At 56.4% G+C, this 19,810-nt stretch overlaps 1 protein-coding gene across 13 annotated transcripts, besides 11 other annotated features; it reads left to right on the top strand.

The window, feature by feature from the left end:
- Positions 1,753-2,255: an enhancer, noted in NCBI's record as "H3K4me1 hESC enhancer chr21:45765021-45765523 (GRCh37/hg19 assembly coordinates)". NCBI's record gives its function as "activates a minimal SCP1, AML or CMV promoter by ChIP-STARR-seq in naive H9 embryonic stem cells {active_cell/tissue: H9 hESC(naive)}" and the evidence as "EXISTENCE:reporter gene assay evidence [ECO:0000049][PMID:30033119]".
- Positions 3,378-3,933: an enhancer, noted in NCBI's record as "NANOG hESC enhancer chr21:45763343-45763898 (GRCh37/hg19 assembly coordinates)". NCBI's record gives its function as "activates a minimal SCP1, AML or CMV promoter by ChIP-STARR-seq in naive H9 embryonic stem cells {active_cell/tissue: H9 hESC(naive)}" and the evidence as "EXISTENCE:reporter gene assay evidence [ECO:0000049][PMID:30033119]".
- Positions 4,676-5,319: an enhancer, noted in NCBI's record as "NANOG-H3K27ac hESC enhancer chr21:45761957-45762600 (GRCh37/hg19 assembly coordinates)". NCBI's record gives its function as "activates a minimal SCP1, AML or CMV promoter by ChIP-STARR-seq in naive H9 embryonic stem cells {active_cell/tissue: H9 hESC(naive)}" and the evidence as "EXISTENCE:reporter gene assay evidence [ECO:0000049][PMID:30033119]".
- Positions 5,320-5,962: an enhancer, noted in NCBI's record as "NANOG-H3K27ac hESC enhancer chr21:45761314-45761956 (GRCh37/hg19 assembly coordinates)". NCBI's record gives its function as "activates a minimal SCP1, AML or CMV promoter by ChIP-STARR-seq in naive H9 embryonic stem cells {active_cell/tissue: H9 hESC(naive)}" and the evidence as "EXISTENCE:reporter gene assay evidence [ECO:0000049][PMID:30033119]".
- Positions 7,825-8,044: an enhancer, noted in NCBI's record as "active region_18570". NCBI's record gives its function as "activates an Ori minimal core promoter by ATAC-STARR-seq in GM12878 lymphoblastoid cells {active_cell/tissue: GM12878}" and the evidence as "EXISTENCE:reporter gene assay evidence [ECO:0000049][PMID:35858748]".
- On the top strand, positions 8,003-18,449 carry CFAP410 (cilia and flagella associated protein 410). Of its 13 annotated transcripts, NM_001271442.1 has the most exons (8): positions 9,055-9,159; positions 9,726-9,744; positions 10,473-10,569; positions 11,589-11,635; positions 14,140-14,360; positions 15,379-15,550; positions 16,477-16,570; positions 17,067-18,449. In NM_001271442.1, the coding sequence occupies exons 4-8, from the start codon at positions 11,607-11,609 to the stop codon at positions 17,193-17,195; spliced, it is 645 nt and encodes a 214-aa protein (NP_001258371.1). In that variant the 5' UTR covers positions 9,055-9,159; positions 9,726-9,744; positions 10,473-10,569; positions 11,589-11,606; the 3' UTR covers positions 17,196-18,449. The 13 variants fall into 13 exon arrangements, with proteins under 13 accessions (NP_001258369.1, NP_001258370.1, NP_004919.1 ...); NM_001271440.2 differs by lacking the exons at positions 9,055-9,159; positions 10,473-10,569 and adding an exon at positions 8,003-8,275 and having other exon boundaries at positions 14,131-14,360; NM_001271441.2 differs by lacking the exons at positions 9,055-9,159; positions 10,473-10,569 and adding an exon at positions 8,003-8,275 and having other exon boundaries at positions 14,131-14,360; positions 16,477-16,930.
- Positions 8,045-8,414: a silencer, noted in NCBI's record as "silent region_13383". NCBI's record gives its function as "represses an Ori minimal core promoter by ATAC-STARR-seq in GM12878 lymphoblastoid cells {active_cell/tissue: GM12878}" and the evidence as "EXISTENCE:reporter gene assay evidence [ECO:0000049][PMID:35858748]".
- Positions 8,715-8,834: a silencer, noted in NCBI's record as "silent region_13382". NCBI's record gives its function as "represses an Ori minimal core promoter by ATAC-STARR-seq in GM12878 lymphoblastoid cells {active_cell/tissue: GM12878}" and the evidence as "EXISTENCE:reporter gene assay evidence [ECO:0000049][PMID:35858748]".
- Positions 15,024-15,523: an enhancer, noted in NCBI's record as "H3K4me1 hESC enhancer chr21:45751753-45752252 (GRCh37/hg19 assembly coordinates)". NCBI's record gives its function as "activates a minimal SCP1, AML or CMV promoter by ChIP-STARR-seq in naive H9 embryonic stem cells {active_cell/tissue: H9 hESC(naive)}" and the evidence as "EXISTENCE:reporter gene assay evidence [ECO:0000049][PMID:30033119]".
- Positions 15,524-16,025: an enhancer, noted in NCBI's record as "H3K4me1 hESC enhancer chr21:45751251-45751752 (GRCh37/hg19 assembly coordinates)". NCBI's record gives its function as "activates a minimal SCP1, AML or CMV promoter by ChIP-STARR-seq in naive H9 embryonic stem cells {active_cell/tissue: H9 hESC(naive)}" and the evidence as "EXISTENCE:reporter gene assay evidence [ECO:0000049][PMID:30033119]".
- Positions 17,745-17,874: an enhancer, noted in NCBI's record as "active region_18569". NCBI's record gives its function as "activates an Ori minimal core promoter by ATAC-STARR-seq in GM12878 lymphoblastoid cells {active_cell/tissue: GM12878}" and the evidence as "EXISTENCE:reporter gene assay evidence [ECO:0000049][PMID:35858748]".
- Positions 18,833-19,127: a silencer, noted in NCBI's record as "tiled region #3786; K562 Repressive non-DNase unmatched - State 18:Pol2". NCBI's record gives its function as "represses a minimal TATA promoter and a strong SV40 promoter by Sharpr-MPRA in K562 cells {active_cell/tissue: K562}" and the evidence as "EXISTENCE:reporter gene assay evidence [ECO:0000049][PMID:27701403]".

Genomic DNA, 19,810 nt, shown 5'->3' with positions numbered 1-19,810 from the left:
TGTAATCCCAGCTACTCGGAGGCTGAGGTAGGAGAATCACTTGAACCCAGGAGACAGAGGTTGCTGTGAACCGAGATCGTGCCACTGAACTCCAGCCTGGGCAACAGAGCGAGACTCTGTCTCAAAAAAATTGTAATCCACAGTGTGGAAGGTTATTGGATCAAGGAGGCATTTCTCATGAATGATTGAACACCATCCTCTTGGTGCTGTTCCCGTAATAGTGAGTAAGTTCTTGCAAGATCTGGTCGTTTAAGTGTGTGGCACCTGCCCCTGTCTCTCTCTCTTACTCCTGCCATGTGAGACACCTGCCCGCTTTGCCTTCTATCATGATCGGAAGCTTCTGAAGCCTCCCCAGAAGCAGAAGCCACCATGCCTCCTGTACAGCCTGCAGGACCGTAAGCCAGTTAGGCCTCTTTCCTTATAAATTACCCAATCTGAGGGGTTTTTTAATAGCAATGCAAGAATGAACAAATACAGTATAGCTGGGCACTAATATTAATTAAACTTTGCGGACTGGGCACGGTGGCTCACGTCTGTAATCCCAGCACTTTGGGAGGCTGAGGCGGGCAGATTAGTTGAGGCCAGGAGTTTGAAATCAGCCTGGCCAAAATGGTGAAACCCTGTCTCTAATAAAATACAAAAAATTAGCCGAACATGGTGGTGCATGCCTATTGTCACGTGTGTCCGTGTGAAGAGACCATCAAACAGGCTTTGAGTGAGCAACAGGGCTGTTTATTTCACCTGGGTGCAGGTGGGCTGAGTCCGAAAAGAGAGTCAGCAAAGGGAGATAGGGGTGGGGCTGTTTTATAGGATTTGGGTAGGTTGTGGAAAATTACAGTCAAAGGGGGTTGTTCTCTTGCGGGCAGGGGTGGGGGTCACAAGATGCTCAGTGGGGGAGCTTCTGAGCCAGGAGAAGGAATTTCACAAGGTAATGTCATCAGTTAAGGCAGGAATCAAGGTAATGTCATCAGTTAAGGCCATTTTCACTTCTTTTGTGATTCTTCAGTTACTTCCGACCATCTGGATGTATACGTGCAGGTCACAGGGGATATGATGGTTTAGCTTGGGCTCAGAGGCCTGACACCTATAGTCCCACCTACTCAGGAGCCTGAGGCAGGAGAATCACTTAAACCCAGGATGGGGAGGTTGCAGTGACCCAAGATCAGGCCCTTGCACTCCAGCCTGGGTGACAGAGTGAGACTCCATCTCAAAAAGAAAGAAAGAAAGAAAGAAAAACCTTTATTTGCAAACAGATGGCGGGCCCAATCTAGCCAGTGGGCTGCAGTTTGCCGACACCTGGTCTAGAGCAGGGCTTCAGGCTGAGGGAACAGACATGTTTCTTTTCATCTCTGGAGTCCACAGAGTCATCTGCATTCTGGAAATATACAGCAGAACTGTTCTTAAAATGTGAAAGGACAGCGATGGATGCCACGCCAGGGTAAAGACTGCAGCCAGCGTGGCCACTGTAAACTCTCTGTGCCAGGTGCCCTTGCGCCAATGGCTCCCAGAATGGCAATTACGAGAACGGAGCTGGAAATGACCACGAGGCCTGAAGACCTCTCAGGACACTGAAAAAATGTAAATCAACACGTGCTGCCTGTCCCTTCTCCCAGGCCTGGCTCTGACCTGCCACAGGAATCTGAACCATCTGCAGCACCAGCCGGTGGGGAGGTCCTCGGTCAGCAGGGGGTCAGGCAGGCTACCCACCGCACTGGCTCCTGAGACCAAGGGAGAAGATTCGAGTTCCCAAGGGCATCTGGGAGGGGTGTGCTGCACCTGCCACCCGAGGAGTTCCAAAGTTTGCCTCAGGGATGTGGTGTGGAGCCCAGAGCCTCCAGGGTGGACCAGGTTCTGCCCCTGAGTCGTACCAGGTGGGTGGCGAGGCCAGCAACATGGGCAGGGGAGAGGTGGTCACTCCGAGATCATGAAAACTTCAGCTCCGGAACATGTTTGCTGACTCTCCATTTGTCTCCCTCTCCTCCTCTCCCCCTCTCCCTGCCCCCCTCATCCCTCACTCCTTGGGAGGCCATGTTGTGAGAGGCCATGTTGCAGGGAGCGAAGCCTCCCACCGACAGCTTGTGGGGCAGCTAGGAGACCTCAGCCAGGTCCTCAGAGACGGCCCCCCTTTCCCTCCCAGGAGGCTGAGCCCAGCCATGCAGCTCAGCTGCTCCAGATGCCTGAGCCTCAGAAACCGGGAGACAGCGATGTCTATTGTGAGCTGCTAAGTCTGGGGGTGATTTGTTATGCAATGCAGGTGACTAGGGTATCGGCCTGGAGGGGGTCTGGACTGGGGGTGTCACCTATGGGGCGAAGGTGGTGGAGGAAAGAAGAGACAAGGACGGGGCCTGGGGCGCATGGGACTCAGCAGCAGGTGTCATCAGGATAGCGTTTGCATGAGTTGGGGGTGAGCCTGCCCTGCTGAGCCCTGCAGAGCTCCCAGCTGTCAGGGCAGGAGGGAGCAGCGGTTGATCCATGGTACCTTGTCCTCAGCAGTATCCCTAGCTGCAAGCCAGAAACCCCGACCCACTGGCTGAAACCACAAAGCGGGTGTCGGCCCTGTGTGCCTGGTGATGGCGGTGGTGGCCTTGCTTCAAAGACTCGACAGGAAGCTCCTGTGTCCCCCACTCTGCGTGTCTCTGGGAAGCAGGCTCTGTGTGTAGCCCCCTGAGATTTACTGGGGAGCAGCGTGCCTAACTCACCCCCTGTAAGAAGGGAGGCCCAGGGCTGGGCAGGGGGCCAAGGCTGTGACGTAGGTCCAGTGGAGCCTTCGTGAGCCCACCAGAGCTCTGAGGCCCGTGGCCGTCACACTGTGCCCCTGCAAGCACCCACAGCCTGAGCCTGTTGGAAGCTTCCTACCACTGCTGGGGACCAGCTCCAGACTCATTAGCAGTGAACATTCTGCCTGCTTGGTGTAGAAGAGCTCAGAAGGCACTGCTCTGAGACTTTTCTGTCATCCCACATCTTACACCAACCTGAGGACTAAGCTCTGATTTTTTTTTTTTTTTTTTTTGAGGTGGATTCTCGCTCTGTGGCCCAGGCTGGAGTGCAGTGGCGCGATCTCGGCTCACTGCCAAGCTCCGCCCTCCAGGTTCACGCCATTCTCCTGCCTCAGCCTCCCAAGTAGCTGGGACTACAGGTGCCCACCACCACGCCCAGGTAATTTTTTGTATTTTTAGTAGAGACGGGGTTTCACCATGTTAGCCAGGATGGTCTCAATCTCCTGACCTCGTGATCTGCCCGTCTTGGCCTCCCAAAGTGCTGGGATTACAGGTGTGAGTCACCACGCCTGGCCAGCTCTGATTTTTTTTCTTGCCTATATTCCTATCTAAGGGATATGGAGAGTCATGCCCTACAAACCATAAATTCTCATCAGACGGGTTTTATTTAACCCTATATGTCATAACTTACTTTCCAATCTGACTCTGGCATAACATGACAAGGAATAAAATCAAAATATTTTACCCCGAAACATGTTTCCTGCCATATTTTGAGACGCTCCTGCAAAGCCGTCCTTTGTGGGAGAAAATGTGCATCTGGAAGGAATCTCTATTCACATAGCTTGATCTTTTTCTTCCAGGCCCTCCCAATCCTGACGAGATTAACTGAGAGTCTAGCACCTTTTAAAGGTGTGAATAGGAAACATTCGTCATCGATTGTCTCTAAGGGCAGCCATTAAAGACTTCAAAAGAACCTTGGTCCCCACAGTCTTTTTTTTTCTTTTTTTCTGTGCAGTGGCGCAATCTCGGCTCACTGCAAGCTCCGCCTCCCGGGCTCACACCATTCTCCTGCCTCAGCCTCCCGAGTAGCTAGGACTACAGGCGCCCGCCCCCATGCCCAGCTAATTTTTTTGTTTGTTTTTTGTATTTTTAGTAGAGACAGGGTTTCACCGTGTTAGCCAGGATGGTCTCGATCTCCTGACCTCGCGATCCGCCCGCCTCGGCCTCCCAAAGTGCTGGGATTACAGGCGTGAGCCCCCGTGCCCAGCGGTCTCCACAGTCTTTTATCTGAACCTGAGCATTTCCTTTCTATGGATCCCAGGTCTTTAGACAAACTCAACCGTCAACCAGAAAATGTTTAAATTCACCGATAGCCTGGAAGCCCCCACTTTGAGTTGTCCCGCCTTTCTGAATCAAACCAACGTATTTCTTAAATGTATTAGATTGCTGTCTCATGCCTTCCTAAAAAGTAAAAAACCAAGCTGTGCCCCGACCACCTTGGACACATGTTCTCAGGATTTCCTGAGGGCTGCGTCACGGGCCATGGTCATTCATATCTGGCTCAGAATAAATCTCTTAAAATATTTTACAGAGTTTGACTCTTTTTGTCAACACCACGATATAGAAGGTTAAATAAAACCCATCTGATGAGAATTTATGGTTTGTAGGGCATGACTGTCCATGCCCTTTAGGAATTTGGGCAAGATAAAAAAAGAAAAATCAGAGTTTAGTCCTCAATTACTTCAAGGCCGAGAGTGAGTTCTGGCCTTGAAGTAATCTTGTTGGAGACAGAATGAGGTGTCCGGTCCCTTTCAGGAGCTGACCCCTGAAGCTTCCAAGCAAAGAGATGACCAGATAAGTGAGCATGGTGTGTGCTTAACAGGCATCCAGGTAAACTAAATGTGCATAAGGCCTGAGAGCACAGGATGGGAACGGAGTGGAGGTTCACATTCCCAGGCTGTATTTCAAGATGGAAGGTAACACAAGCAGCTTGTCTCAGTTACATCTTCAGACTAGGGTGGAGGAGGAGGAAAGGGGAAAGGGGAAAAAGTTTTAAAACATGGTTTGAGGCTTAGCTGTGTGAAAGGAATATAAAGCTCAAGACCTTAAAATCACTAAGTCAAGGGAAAAGTCAGCTGGAAAATGCATCAGGCAAACCTGCCTCCAATTTTATTCCTAAATAAGATCGCTACAAAGATAAAAAGCTATGAAGCTCCCTCACAATTTGCCCACAAGGAAATTCCTTGTGGGCCTCAAGATCTTTACCCTCAAACAGTTCTGTTGAATTTCACCCTGGAATGTAAACTGATAGCTGATCTTCACAGGTGTGGGACAGGAGGTCATCCCCCTGCTCACCGGAGACACATGCCTATCTGTTTGCTTTCTCTGCCTTATTGTTTATGTAAAAATGCAGATTTACTAAGCTAGACCAAATTGTGTATTCAGTGAAAGGACTCAAAAGAATGCAATCTTTTGTCTCTTATCCACCGATGACCTGGAAGCTGGAAGCCTCCCTCCACCCCCACAACCCCACCCGGCCTTCAAGGTGTCCTGCCTTTCCAGACTGAACTAATGTACATCTTTTTTTTTTTTTTAAGACGGAGTCTCGCTCTTGTTGCGCAGACTGGAGTGCAATGGCACAGTCTCGGCTCACTGCAACCTCTGCCTCCCGGGTTCAAGCGATTCTCCTGCCTCAGCCTCCAAAGTAGTTGGGATTACAGGCGCCCACTGTCAGGCCTCTGAGCCCAAGCTAAGCCACCATGTCCCCTGTGACCTGCACGTACACATCCAGATGGCTGGTTCTCGCCTTAACTGATGACATTCCACCATAAAAGAAGTGAAAATGGCCTGTTCCTGCCTTAACTGATAACATTGTCTTGTGAAATTCCTTCTCCTGGCTCATCCTGGCTCAAAAGCTCCCCTACTGAGCACCTTGTGACTCCCACTCTGCCCGCCAGAGAACAACCCCCCTTTGACTATAATTTTCCTTTATCTACCCAAATCCTATAAAACGGCCCCACCCTTATCTCCCTTCACTGACTCTCTTTTCAGACTCAGCCCACCTGCACCCAGGTGAAATAAACAGCTTGATTGCTCACACAAAGCCTGTTTGGTGGTCTCTTCACATGGACACGAGTGAAACCCACCACCGCGCCCAGCTAATTTTTTGTATTTTTAGTAGAGACAGGGTTTCACTATGTTGGCCAGGCTGGTCTCGAACTCCTGACCTCAGGCCATCCACCTGCCTCAGCCTCCCAAAGTACTGGGATTATAGGCGTGAGCCACCGCGCCCGGCTTAATGTACATCTTATACATATATTTTTTCTTCTTTTTCCATCTTACACATATTGATTGATGTCTCATGTCTCCCTAAAAATGTATGAAAGCAAGCTGTGCCCCAGCCACCCAGGGCACATGTCATCAGGACCTCCTGAGGCTGTGTCATGGGCTTGTCCTTAACCTTGACAAAATAAACTTTCTAAACAGATTGAGTCCTGTCTCAGATATTTTGGATTCACAGCTGCTAAGCTGCTCGGTTACAATTGAAGGCTCATGGGTTAGGGGTTGTTCAAAGGTAGTTTGGTGAACAGGGGGCTAGGGCATGGGGAGTGCTGATTGGTTAGGTGCGAGATGAAATCTAGCTGTCCTTTTGGTCCTTTTGTGCTGCATGGCTTCTGGGTGGGGCCACAGGAGCTGTTGGCAAGACATTTAGCTGGATCCATCCGTGTGAGACATGCAAGAAACCTGCAAAGGTACAATAGTGATGTTACCTGCAGGAGTAATTGGGGAAGTAGCTTATCTTGTGACCTCCAGAATAATGGCTGACGAATGTTTACATCTGCATCTTAGTGGAATTCATGCTCCTCTATCCTTCTAGGCTGGTAGTGTAACCGCCCAATGGGTTCGCCTTGCCCACTGCCTAGACAGAACCGATTTATCAAGGCAACGGAATTGCAATGGAGAAAGAGTAATACACACAGAGCTGGCTGTGCAGGAGAGCAGAGTTTTATTATCACTCAAATCAGTCTCCCCAAGCATTCGGGGATCCGTGTTTTTAAGGATAATTTGGCGGGTATGGGCTCAGAAAGTGGTGAGTGCTGATTGGTCAGGTCGAAGATTAAATCATAGGGGGTCAAAATGAGTTCTGGCTGACTTCTGTCCCTGGGTGGGATCACACACATGGTTGAGCCAGATTATCCGTTTGGGTGGTGTCATCTGCTGCATCTGAATGCAGGGTCTACAAAATATTTCAAGCACTGACCTTAAGTTTTGCAACAGTGATGTTATTCCCAGAAGCAATTTGGGGAGGTTCAGACTCTTGCCGCCAGAGGTTGCATGGCCCCTAAACTGTAATTTTTAATCTCGTAGCTTAATTTGTTAGTCCTACAAAGGCAGACTGGTCCCCAGGCAAGAAGGGTTTTTTTGGGAAAGGGCTATTATCAATTTTGTTTCAGTTTAATCTATAAACTAAATTCCTTCCCAAGGCTAGTCTGGTCTACACCCAGGAATGAACAAAAGCAGCTTAGAGGATAGCAGGAAGATGGGGTGGGTGAGGAGATCTTCCCCTGTCATAATTTCTTCAGTTATGATTTTTGCAAAGGCGGTTTCAGTGGTCTCATTAGCTTTACAAAGGCTGTTTAGTTTTGAGGAAGGGCTGCTATCACTTAAACTATAAATGTCTCCCAAAGTTACCTTTGCTTATCCAGGAATAATTAAGGGCAGTTTTAAGGCCAAAGGCAAGATGGGGGTTGGCCAGATCTCCTTCAAGGCCAACCTTCTCTCACCGATACAATTTTTTGCAAAGGCGGTTTCAGAACGTCAGAACGCCTGTCTTAATGTAACTGTGGCCCATGTAACGATGTTTAGAGGGTCTTATCTGATTTCTAAAAGGTTGAAATGCTTGTAAGGGCTCTGCTGGACCTGCCCGTGCGTCTTTCCTATAAATGCGTCTTTTCTGTAAATGCTGGGAGGGAGGGAGACAAGGAATCAACACAGCCCCAGGGCTGCCCTGGGTTTATTCCAAGAGTTTGAATCGCGTAACTTGGAGCTGTGTAGCGCCCATGCCATCCACGCTAGGCCTGCGCTCAGAGTCAGGCCTAGGCACTCGGCCATGATGCGCGTCGGACCGAGCCCACCCCGCTCGGTTCCTGGGAGCAGCAGTTCAGCCCTCACTGGGCCGACTCGGGGACCGCCACCTGCACCCACCCTCTGCTCGCTGCGCGCTTCCGGGGTCGCGTTAGAATCGCGTCAGAGAAGGGCGCCCCAGGCCGCGCATGAGCAGGAGCAGAGCCAACGTGTCAGCGGCGCCCAAGCGGCCCCAGCGGGCTCGCGTCGCCCCGCTCTCCTCACCGAGCCGCCAATCGGCTCAGGATCCGCCCCTGACGACGCGGGCCCCGCCCCTGGAGACACGCGCCGCGCAGTCGTCACCCGCCCGGGATCAGGAGGCCGGGGGCGCCCGCCGGTCGGGCCTGGGCGGCCGCCATGAAGCTGACGCGGAAGATGGTTCTGACCCGGGCCAAGGCCTCGGAGCTGCACAGCGTGCGCAAGCTCAACTGCTGGTGAGGCGGGGCCTGGCCGCGGCCGCCCCGGGGTGGGGGGAGGAGCCGGGGCGGGGCGAGGGCGGAGCCGGAGGGAGGAGCCGGGGCGGGGAGAGGGCGGAGCCGGAGGGAGGAGCCGGGGCGGGACGAGGGCGGAGCCGGAGGGAGGAGCCGGGGCGGGGAGAGGGCGGAGCCGGGGCGGGGAGAGGGCGGAGCCGGGGCGGGGAGAGGGCGGAGCCGGAGGGAGGAGCCGGGGCGGGACGAGGGCGGAGCCGGAGGGAGGAGCCGGGGCGGGACGAGGGCGGAGCCGGAGGGAGGAGCCGGGGCGGGACGAGGGCGGAGCCGGAGGGAGGAGCCGGGGCGGGGCGGGGCGGGGGCGGAGTGGAAGGGGGGAGGGGCAGGGGCGAGGGCGGCGAAGGAGCCGCGGGTGAGGGAGGGGAGGAGGCCGGGGGTCGGGGTCGCCTGGGCCCCCCCCCATTTCCCGGCCCGCCTTTGCCCCGGGTGCCCTGTGGGCTGGGTCTGTTGTCTGGGGTTGCCAGCAGTCACTGGGACCAAGTCGAATAGGAGAGAGAACTGAGCTTTCCAGGACTGAGTCAGGAAACACGTTGGTAATCAGTACTGGGGGCGGCCGTTCCCAGGGTACTCCTAGCAGGTGACAGGAAGGGACGTGGGTGCGGTGGGACCCAGGCAGGCTGAAAGGCAGGTAATGCTGAGTCTCACTGAGCCAAGGAAGACCAGGAGCTTCCAGAAGAGGGAGCCTGGAGTTGAGGCCTGCAAGATCTCCAGGGTTCCCTGGGGACTCAGCAGAGTGACCGCGCCGTGTCAACTGGCCTCACCGTGCAGGCGGGTGTGGGGGTCAGCGAGAGCAGACGCTTCCTCCCAGGGGTGTCCGCAGACTGCCCAGAGTGAGCTCTTCCCTGTTAATTAAAAAGCTTTTCTCTCTGCCCTGGCATATCTGGTGTTTTGGCTACAATTCCCGTGTCATTTGCTTTCAATAATGCATTTCTTTGTTTTGCATGGGGTGGTCAGTACTCCCACTAAGCTGGGAGAAACAACAACCCTGTTTCAGGCTTTTAAAGTTTGCTTCATAAGTTGCCTGTTCACCCTTTGAACTTGACCTCTTATAAAGACGCCCTTGTTTATGTCTGTCAGTGAGAGAAATGAACCTTCTGCTACTCAGGGACCATGAGGAAGAGTTCATCTTTTTGTGTCTTACAAATGGAGCAACCCTGCTGCTCCTTATCTAAAAAGTACCACCCCAACGTCAAACATACAGTTTAGTTGAAAATCAGCTAAAACAATTGTTTACACCTTTGCCAGTTATCTGGGCAACCTTCCTTTTTTGCCATGCCATTAAAATCCTAGAATCTTAAGGTTTGTAGGGAGTCATCGGTGATTTTTGGAATTTTTGTCTTCAGTGTTTTTTATTCAACTTTAACAAAATTAAAGTATGTATCTTTTCTCTCCCCAGGGGCAGCCGCCTCACAGATGTAAGTATTGCCTCACAGATGTAAGTATTGCACTGATCATCTCCAAATAGCCTCAACCCAAATGTTGTAGCTTCTTTCCCAAGAGAATTTTTAAGTTGACAAAACTGCACCTATCAATTCAGTCCCACACTTGGTACTTTGTTCACTTAGCGGTTTTCATTCTGCAGAACCACTAATGGAAAAACAATTCTCTAGTGCCAGGCTTATTTTGCAGTTCCCGTCAACATCCCTATAAATGAAACACCCTTTGTCACTTGGTCGCAGAGGAGGGGAGCAATAGTTTGGAACTTGCTCTCACCTGGAAAGGAATCCCAGGAGGGCTTGTTTTACTTTGTTACGGGGAAGTTGAAGGTCTACACCCCCTCTTCTTGGTCACATCTAGCCTTGTACCCCCTTGCCGCTGCCCCAAAGGCAGGCAGAGAATAAGCCCTGCTGGGAGAACTTGAGTGTGTGCGTCTGTGAAAGATTTTTTTCTTCTCTCCCTCATTGTCTTTCTCAGTCCAAAATGTCCCCAACTTACACAGGGATCGCATACCAATTGTTTCTTTCTTTTTTTTTTTTTTTTACACGGAGTCTCTCTCTGTTGCCCAGGCTGGAGTACAGTGGCACGATCTTGGCTCACTGCAACCTCTGCCTCCCGGGTTCAAGCAATTTTCCTGCCTCAGCCTTTGAGTAGCTGGGACTACAGGCACCCACCACCATGCCTGGCTAATTTTTGTACTTTTTAGTAGAGATGGAGTTTCACTGTGTCGGCCAGGCTGGTCTCAAACCCCCTGAGTTCAGGTGATCCACCTGCCTCAGCCTCGCAAAGTATTGGAATTACAGGTATGAGCCACCATGTCCAGCGCAATTATTTATCTCTTTATTTTCCTTTGTTTTTTTAATTTGAACTGTACCTTTTCTTAAAGACAAAAAAAAGCCTGGATACGTGGCATCTGGGTGTAATCTGTTTTGTGCTGTAACTGAAATACTGCATGTTTAGCAGTGAATATACAAACGTACCATGTCCATAGACACGAGTCACTTATACATGGGACGCATCTGACCAGGCTGTGAGCTGCTGGTGCCATGCCTGGCGTATGGTGGGCTCTCACATATGTGGGAGCTTTGCAGGTTGTGAGGCTTTGTGGACCACCCCGGGCACCTCACCCCTGAATTGACAGTACCAATGTGATCTGAGATCCAGTCTCAAGCCTGTCTTCCTTTTGGCCTAGACCTGTTATCAAGAAGGGATTTCCATCCTTTCCTTGCTTTCTATCCCTGCGTAGGGGACATTGGGGTCCCCTTACCTGATGTCCTTTGAGGGCATCTAAAGTAATGAATGCTCTGTCTCCACTGCTGGCAGCATCTGACAGCAACGATGCTGTCGTAAAATTTAATAAAGACAGAGTGCGTGCAAGGAGGAGCCTCACATTTCTCCTTCAGTCTGCGGGGCGTCTGGGCTGCAAGGTGGTGTCAGAGGAGAACCTGGCATACTCGTGGGCATTCATCCTGGGCACACTGGCTGAGCAGGGCCGCTCCCCTCAGGCCCTGGGCATTCACCCTGGGCACACTGGCTGAGCAGGGCCGCTCCCCTCAGGCCCTGGGCATTCACCCTGGGCACACTGGCTGAGCAGGGCCGCTCCCCTCAGGCCCTGGGCATTCACCCTGGGCACACTGGCTGAGCAGGGCCGCTCCCCTCAGGCCCTGGGCATTCACCCTGGGCACACTGGCTGAGTAAGGCCGTGCCCCTCAGGCCCCGGAAGTGGGTTGGCCGTGGCTTCGACAGTTCTCTGTGGCTGATGGCAGTGCGGCCGCGATGCCCTGCTGTGCCATGCTTGCTAGTCATGTTCTTTTCCTCCTAGATCTCCATTTGCCAGGAGATGCCCAGCCTGGAGGTGATCACGCTCAGGTACCTCGCTCCTGCTGTCATGCTCAGCCTGGGGCCTGGAAGCCGGGGCAGAGCCTCACGTCCCTCCAGTGGGACCCAGCACTGTGACATAACCTGGAAACCTCCAACACAGACTGAGGGCGGCTTCCAGAAGGGGAGGGGCCGGGACAGCGAGAGCTGGGCCTACCCTGTGGCCCCCATGTTCAGCCCTCCTTCCTCAGAGCCTCACCTGGGCCTCCTGATGGCTCCTGTCCCCTGCCTGCCCTGCTGTACGCCTGCCCACCCTTGGCCTGTGTGCTCCGATAAGCCATTGCTGTGTTCACTGGGCCAGTCGGTGGTGGAGCCCTCCTAAGGATTCACGGTGGCCCGCCCTGGCCGCCCCCACGGTGGCCACATCTGCCCTGGGACCCCCAGAGTCCTGGCCTCTTCTGCCCCCCAGTGCCACCACTGCCTACCAGTTTCTCTGCACCCCATGACCTGTGCCCGTCTTCTGGGGTCACTGCCCTCCCAGCAGACTAAGGGAAGCTTGAATGAACAAATGTTACTGGACTTTCAGGCAGTTGGGGTGTATTTGGGGGCTCTGGGGAAGAGAAGAGCTCCCTTTATCCCTGAATTCCCTCCTGCCTACTGTGGGACCCACGGAGGGAGCAGACGCTCATGGCTCACCACTGCCCACCAGACGCTGGATGGGCGCCTTCTGTGGGTTTCCGCATTTAAAAGCTCACAAGGGTTTAAACCCTGTGGGGAAGGCCCACCCCTCTGGCAGCTCAGAAGTCTCTAGGGCTTGCCCTCTGAGAGTGGGTATTGCAGGCCCCTGGTCCCTGACTGTGACCTACCTTCTTGATCTCACAGGCAGCCACGGGGTAGGCCAGCCCCTGCCCATCCTCCGTAATGCCCTCTGAGGTTGGCATTGCCATGTTGATGCCCGTGCCCAGCCTGCTGCCCGCCATGGGCTGAGGCCAGTCCATCTGGTGTTCAGGCATCCCCAGCGCGGGCACCAGCCTGTCCTGCCCGAGCCTTGCTGAATGAATGAAATGGGCTTGGAGGCATGCTCATGGGTCAAATCTCAGCCCTCCCATCTATTGGCTGGCTAACCTTGGGCGAGGCATGGCCCTCTCTGTGCCTCAGTTTCCTTTCTGTAACATGGAGGTATTACAAGTGCCCACCCCACAGGGAGATGAGGAGGAGATGGAGCCCGAGTCCAGAGGTTGAGCAGGGGTGCGCGTGCCCGCCCAGAGGTTGAGCGGGGGGGGGGGGGGGGTGCGCGTGCCCGCCCAGAGGTTGAGGGGGGGTGCGCGTGCCTGCCGCGGGGCTCGTTTCACTAGTCAGGCGACACAGTGAGGCTGGGATTTCAGGCCTGCCTCCGAAAGGCTTACCTGACAGGGAAACGTGGAGCTTGTGGTTCCCACGGTGGCAGGAAGCTTGGGGCGGGGCTGTGGATCCAGCCCTATCCCTGCCGCTCACTGAGTCACCCAGGGGCCACAGGGCCTCCGAGCATCAGGCCGCTCGTGTGTGGGGCCATTTCTGTCACATCTCGGGAGGGACAGGACCCCAGGGGTGTTGACCGAGCTCAGGTGCGTGGTGCCTGCACGCCTGACTGCACTGGAGCGGAGCAGGAAGCCTCGAGGCCGCGGACGCGGTCGGTACATCACGCTGCTGCCTGTGCCTGAGGCAGACCCCATCCTGGAAAGAGTCCCACAGCCGGAGTTTTGCTCTTGGTAAAATGGGGCGGCCTCATAGCTAGGAGCTGCATGAGACCTGGGAAACCCCGAGTGAAGGGATGGCATGGGGAGGGGGGCTCAGGACGGCAGGCTGCCCATGGGGGCCTGGTGACCGCCCTTCTGAGGCGCCTGCCGGACGCGAGTGCAGCCCTCCAGGCAGGGGGCCCTGGCTCCGCGCCTTTGAGGGCCTGCGGGAGCGGCTCCGCGTGTTCGCTTGTGGAGGGGACGGACCCCACGCTGCAGGGTAAAGCCTGCAGGTCCCCGCTCCAGGCCTGCTGTTTCTCTTCTCTGACGCGTCCACGTTCTGTAGAATGGAAATGAGGCCCATCCCCAGTGTTGCCGCCCTCAAGTGGGGGTTTGGAAGGTCCGTGCTCACTCCCATGTCACGTGGAGCTGGCTCCTAGTTTTTGCCATGAGTTTTTCTGGCCGCTCCCTGCTTTGGGGCAACATGATATGTCCCCTGAGAGGCCTTAATTTTCCTCACCTGTGAAGGAGGGCCACATCCCCCACCTCCCGCACTCTAGCGCCCTGAGGAGCTGATGTGGAGCGTCGGGCCAAGGGGCTGTTGCTGGTGGGGTCCACCCCAGTCCGCCTTTGAGTTCAGGGCCTGGCCTTCCTACAGCTCTCTCCTCGGCCCAGGTCCTGCTGCACGTGACTTGTGACATCCGATTTAGGCTTCTCAGGAGAGGGCAGGGACACAGGTCCCATGAGTGCCTTTTACTGGGGGTGGGGATTGAGAGGTGGCCCTGGGGGCCCTGGCCACGTCCCTCGCTGACTGTGCTGGTCTCCGTGCAGTGTCAACAGCATCTCCACCCTGGAGCCTGTGAGCCGGTGCCAGCGCCTGAGTGAGCTGTACCTGCGGAGGAACCGCATCCCCAGCCTGGCTGAGCTCTTCTACCTGAAGGGGCTGCCGCGTCTGCGGGTGCTGTGGCTGGCCGAGAACCCGTGCTGCGGCACCAGCCCCCACCGCTACCGCATGACCGTGCTGCGCACCCTGCCGCGCCTACAGAAGCTGGACAACCAGGGTAGGTGGCCGCAGCGGAGTCACCGGCCCTCCCAAAACAATCCCTGGAAGGGGATGTCCCCAGCCCTCTTTTCTCTTCTCCTTTTCTGCAAATACCTGGTCTGGCGGGACATAGATGTGTCCTGTGAAGTCTCCTCCAGAGGCTGTTCCCCTGGCTTCTGTGTCTCCTCTTGATCCCGCCACCCGAATGCAGCAGCGCAGCGTAGGGTCCCTCCTGGGACTGACAGTTTGGGTATCCCCCAACGACCGCAGGACCTGGTAGCAAAGCAAAAGGGTTCCTTCTTTTGCTTCTGTGAGTAGCAGCCCTGCTCTGACCATCGCCATGCGCCATGGCGAGCGGGGGCGTCAGTATCTGGCAAGCAGCATCGCACTGGTCCACAGGGACTGGGCAGGCTCCACGGGCCACTGTGAACCTAGGGTGGCGGTGCCATCGCGCCCCTGCCGTGGGGAGGGGCCGTCCCAGCACCGCAGTGCCTGCTGCTGCGCTCCACCTATTGGAGGCACTCGTGCCTCCTCTAGCCAGCGCCAGCACCGACACAGTTTTCCAGGCTGTGGTTTCATGCTGTTTGTTCATCCTTGGCATTCTCAGCACACTAGTGTCTCATCCTTGTCAGGTATACAGACACCACTATTTTCTCCCAGACAATTTTATTGATATTAATAATATAAACTTCAGGGAAATTGATATATGAGAGAAATGGAATAAATTCAATATGGTCTGTTCCTTTTTCTATTGTGTCTTAGTTGAGGTTTTGAGGAGTATTTGCTTCTGGCCAAGGCTGGTGTTGAGATTCCTGAGCAGCCCTCCACCATCTGTTGTGTGTCAGCCTGTGCCAGGCTGGGGATGGGACAGTGAGGAACCGGCTGCTACTCTGGGAGTTGTCCCTGGAGGTGGATACACGTGCATGCATTTCACAAGCAGACTGTGCCTGAAGCCACAGTGAGGACGGGAGCTGCAGTGCATGTGGCCTGCACGTGGGTGAGGCCACTCATGCTGTCTTCTGTCTTTCATCCCAAAGCTGTGACGGAGGAGGAGCTGTCCCGTGCACTGAGTGAGGGAGAGGAGATCACTGCGGCCCCAGAGAGAGAGGGCACAGGCCACGGCGGCCCCAAGCTATGCTGCACACTGAGCTCCCTCAGCTCCGCTGCTGAGACTGGCCGGGACCCGCTGGACAGCGAGGAGGAGGCAACGTGAGGCTGGAGGGCAGCGGGGACTCCGCAGCCCATCCCTGTCCCCCAGGGTCCTCCCACGGGGAGTGAATGGGGCTTCCCGTGAGCTGCGTCTCTGGGAAGTGAGGGACAGGGATTATCCGGGGGGAGTGTCTGTTCTCATCCATATTCTCTGGGAGTGACTCAGTGCCCAGGTAGTGATTTCAGTGGCAGGTCCATGTTTTGCCCAACAGCGGATGTGCCAGGGAGCAGGAGAGGGGGTGAGCCAGGCCCCGTGCCCTGGCACAGAGAAGGCTCACAGCACCAGAGCTCGTGAGGTGCAGGGAGCCCCTGGTGGGGGGGGTGGCCTAGGGCCACAGTGACTGGAATGGTTTGTGGGCACGGCCATCAGTGCCCGTATGGCCTTGGGCCTGGGGGCCGTGGAGGGGCCACAGGGCTGACTCTGCAGTGAGACGCCGGCGCCTCCCAGGGCAGTTGGCAGCGGGTCACGAACGCATTTGACAGAAGCTGGGCACTTCTCTCCTGCTTGGCAGATCACACCCGCTGCTGGTGCCTGTGGTGGGGGCATCGGGATGTGATCTCTGTTAGGCATCTGCCATCCGGCACAGGGCCTGACCCCATGGTCAGGAGCTCTCCCCCGGCATTTGTGTGTTCGGGTGCCCCCCACCCTGCCCCTGAAGCCCTGGGTGGAAGGTGTTACAGCTGGGGAGCCCCAGGGTGCCGGGAGGGCGCCCCACAGGTGAAGTAAGTGCCGGGCTCTCCAGGAGCTGCCATCTGTAGCCCCTGACCTCCCAGGAGTTGCCTCCCTTCTCTTGCCCCCGTGTGCCAGGTGGGATTTGTATGAGCCCCTCCTTTGCTTGGATGCGACCCGCAGACAGGGTTTGCAGAGGCCCCCCCGGTGCCACGAGCCCCCTGACCCTCACACGCCTTTGTCTCCCTCTCAGCAGCGGCGCCCAGGATGAACGTGGCCTGAAGCCGCCTTCCCGGGGCCAGTTTCCTTCCCTCTCAGCCAGGGATGCCTCGAGCAGCCACAGGGGCAGGGTGAGTGGCGGGCCGCTAGGGGCCGCGGCTGCCTCTGCCCACTGCACCCACTGCACAGAAACCGTGGGGAGGGAGCATGGAGCCTCACAGGGCCCCGTGGGGAGGGAGCATGGAGCCTCACAGGGCCTTGAAGAGCTGTGCCCCAGGGGGAGCTGCGTGTGCGGGTCTGTGAATGCGCACACACGTGTAACACGTGCCCCGCACGGAGCCGTCCTGGCCCCTCAGCCTCTCCTGCTGTCCTGGTCTGTGGAATGTGGGCCCGGGCCCTGCTGGGCTGAGGGCAACAGGAGTCACGTGGAAGAGGTGCCACACACGCGTCCACAGGCGGGGCTCCTCTGCTCAGATTCTCCGAGTGTGCCGGTCAGTCACTTGGACGGCCCACACCCCCGGGACCAGTCGCTCCGTGGTGGGGCACCGCTGGCCAGGCCCCAGCCCTTGTGGAGGGAAGCAGCCTCGCCGTGCCGGGTGGGCTTAGTCCGCACCCCTCTGCCCTCAGAACGTCCTGACTGCCATCCTGCTGCTGCTGCGGGAGCTGGATGCAGAGGGGCTGGAGGCCGTGCAGCAGACTGTGGGCAGCCGGCTGCAGGCCCTGCGTGGGGAAGAGGTGCAGGAGCACGCCGAGTGACCGCAGGACCTGAACGCCGCTCCAGCCTCCACGGGGACCCCAGCGTCTTCCCCAGCCCCCGGGAGCTGGAGGGTGGCTGCCATGGCCGCAGCCCCGGCCCCACACAAAAGCCTCCCCGGTTTGCCACATCGGCCGAGGGCAGGAGTGGGTGTTAGGTACTGGCTAACCGGGGCGGTGGAGATGCCTGTCTACACCAGTCCTGTCCCCAGGACTCCCCTTCTGTGGTCTGGAGGTTCTAGGCTGGCCTGGGCTCTTAAAGGGAGGATTTTGCAGGCTGTCCTCCCTAATAAAAGATTTTCCCAAGGTTGATCTGGAGGTGACGTTTCCCAAGGCATGGTTGTGACAGTCTTCCTGAAAGCAAGGGCCGTTTCTCCACAGAATGAGGAGGTCTTCACGGATGGCTTTGCCGATTCCAGCCCTTGGTCCTTGGATAGATTTCTGTTGGGCAAGGGAGACTTCGAGAATGCTGGCACCCATAGCGACATCTGCCCTGAGCTGCTCAGCAGGCAGGCAGCAGCCTCCCGCACCCATGGGAGAGAGTTTTGTTTTCTTGGCCGGGCTGGGCAGGTGCGCCTTCCTTTCTCTCTCCTGTGAAGAACTGCAGGAGGGCCCTCAGCTGTGAGGTTGTGGATGAACAGGCCTGTTCGCCCTGGGGTCCGGGCCTGGCACAGGAAGCAGCTAGACTAGGGGAGTCCTTGGAGCATCTGAGAGGGGTTTTCTTTCCTCTGGGAAGAGTCGCAAGTCTTATGAGGATGCCACAATCTGGGCAGTGACCCGTGGCCCTGGGGACCTTCCTAGTGCCCCCCAAAACCAAGGAAGCATTCACGTGAGATGGGGAGTCAGCCTTCCAGCTGGTGTGTAGGAAAGCCAGGTCCCTGGGCCCTTGTCCCATGTGGGGTTGAGATCCAGATCTCCATGAGATATTCCCATCCTCCGCCGAGCGGTGATGCGTGACCGTGTGTGCAGGCCGCTGTTCTCCCAAGCTCGGGGCCATGCCGTGCCACCGTCACCAGAGCCAGCTGCAGCACTGGGGCAGCCACTGTCGCCGGACTTGGGGAAGCCCAGGGTGAAGACAGTCACTCATCCGTGCAAGCTCTCCAGAAGGGATGCAAGCTCTCCAGAAGGGGTGTGATCTCTGAGCAGTGGGGAGTGGAGTCACCACTCGGGACATAGAGGGTGGACAGTTCAGGCCTGTGTCTGCCTCCTTGGGACTGTGGAGTGGGTGCCCTCAGTAAAGCGCTTTGTTGGAATGGTTGAGGTCGTTTTAAATTGAGTCCCTTCCACTTCCCCCGACATGGGCTGCCGTGGACATGCGGGGCTTACACCAGCGCCCTCCTGCCCCACATCATGCACACCTTGGGTGGGACCTGTGGGGGCAGCTGCCTGCCTTCAGCCCCACGGTTCCCCCTACCCCGTCCCCACCATTGCCGCCTCCTGCCTGTTCCCCTCCCGGCACCTCCTCACCCAATGCACCCAGCCATGGAGGACAGCCAGAAGCACGTCCAGCCCGGGGCACCCCACAGTCCCACTCCACTCCTCCCCAAGTCACCCCAAAAATGGGTTCTCAAGCCGAGCAGCACTGGCATCACACTCTGTCCCATTCACCCAGTTCACAGGAGAGGACCAAGGGCCCAGGAGGTCGCGTCACTCTGCCCGAAATGCCAGAAACGCCAACTCCACGCAGCCAGAAGTGGGCCTGACGCAGGCGCTCGCCACACCACGTCGCCCAGGAGGGAGGCAGCCACTGTCCCGGGCATCAGCCACAGGCGACCACCTGGGTGCAGCAGCTGAGTGGCAGCTGAACAGGTTCTAACACCTCATCAGGCAGGGCAGGCCGAGGGGGTCTACTCAGAACTGAGTCCTGATCCCAGACGGTGTGACACAACGGAGGCCCCCAGAGCATGCCTGTGTGGTTCCCTGGGCCTATGAACCTGTTTCTCTCTTCCTTTGAGACAGAGCTGCAGACCCCGGAGCACTGTCCTTGGACAACTGTCCACTCCTGGGCCTGGCCCCAGGATGGCCCAGCTCAGAATGAACTAGAAGGCCACTAGGTGTGGGCCCCTCCACCCCAGCTCGAGTTAAGCAATCTGGAGGCCTCCGGCACTAGGGCCAACACAGTGAGGGGCTCTTGGGAATATCAAGGTGCCCGAGGGCAAGAGGGTCCCCAGCCCCTTCACCAGGTCCCTAGGCCACCCCACTGGCCTGAGCTCAACCAGGAGACTGCCCAGGGGCCCTCAAAGTGGCCCTTAGGCCCCTCCAAGCCAGGGTCTCCCTTGAGACACCTCCTGTGTCCCAAAACCACATCCCCAGGGTGGCACTGCGGGCAGGAAGCAGCCCTCTTGGGCAAGCACCTCCCACGTTCATGATGCAGAGCGCAGGCTTCGACGCTGAGGTTAACAGGCATCCTGCAAGCAGGGCGTCCACCACCCCGTAGCCGCCTGCAGGACTCAGCCCTAGCCCCTGGTGGGCGCAGCTCTGCGCTGCCTTCTTTTCCCCTCTTGCGTGTCCACCATCAATGTCTCCTGGATACTGGCTCAAGCCAGCCACCAGCCTGCAGGTTGGAGACCCCCACTCAGGCTGAGGTTGGGGAGACAGAGGAGTGAGGCTGTACCCTT

The sequence above is a fragment of the Homo sapiens genome, chromosome 21, assembly GCF_000001405.40.
Source record: "Homo sapiens chromosome 21, GRCh38.p14 Primary Assembly".
NCBI lineage: Eukaryota > Metazoa > Chordata > Mammalia > Primates > Hominidae > Homo > Homo sapiens.
This window is presented reverse-complemented; position numbering and strand designations above follow the sequence as displayed.

Bases quoted from the DNA above. Each gene is read 5' to 3' on its own strand.
- CFAP410 (XM_047440980.1), top strand. From the start codon at position 8,961: ATGCTGAGTCTCACTGAGCCAAGGAAGACCAGGAGCTTCCAGAAGAGG. The intron at 14,361-15,378 runs GTAGGTGGCCGC...TTCATCCCAAAG, and splicing joins ACAGAAGCTGGACAACCAGG to CTGTGACGGAGGAGGAGCTG. The intron at 15,551-16,473 runs GTGAGGCTGGAG...TCTCCCTCTCAG, and splicing joins GACAGCGAGGAGGAGGCAAC to CAGCGGCGCCCAGGATGAAC.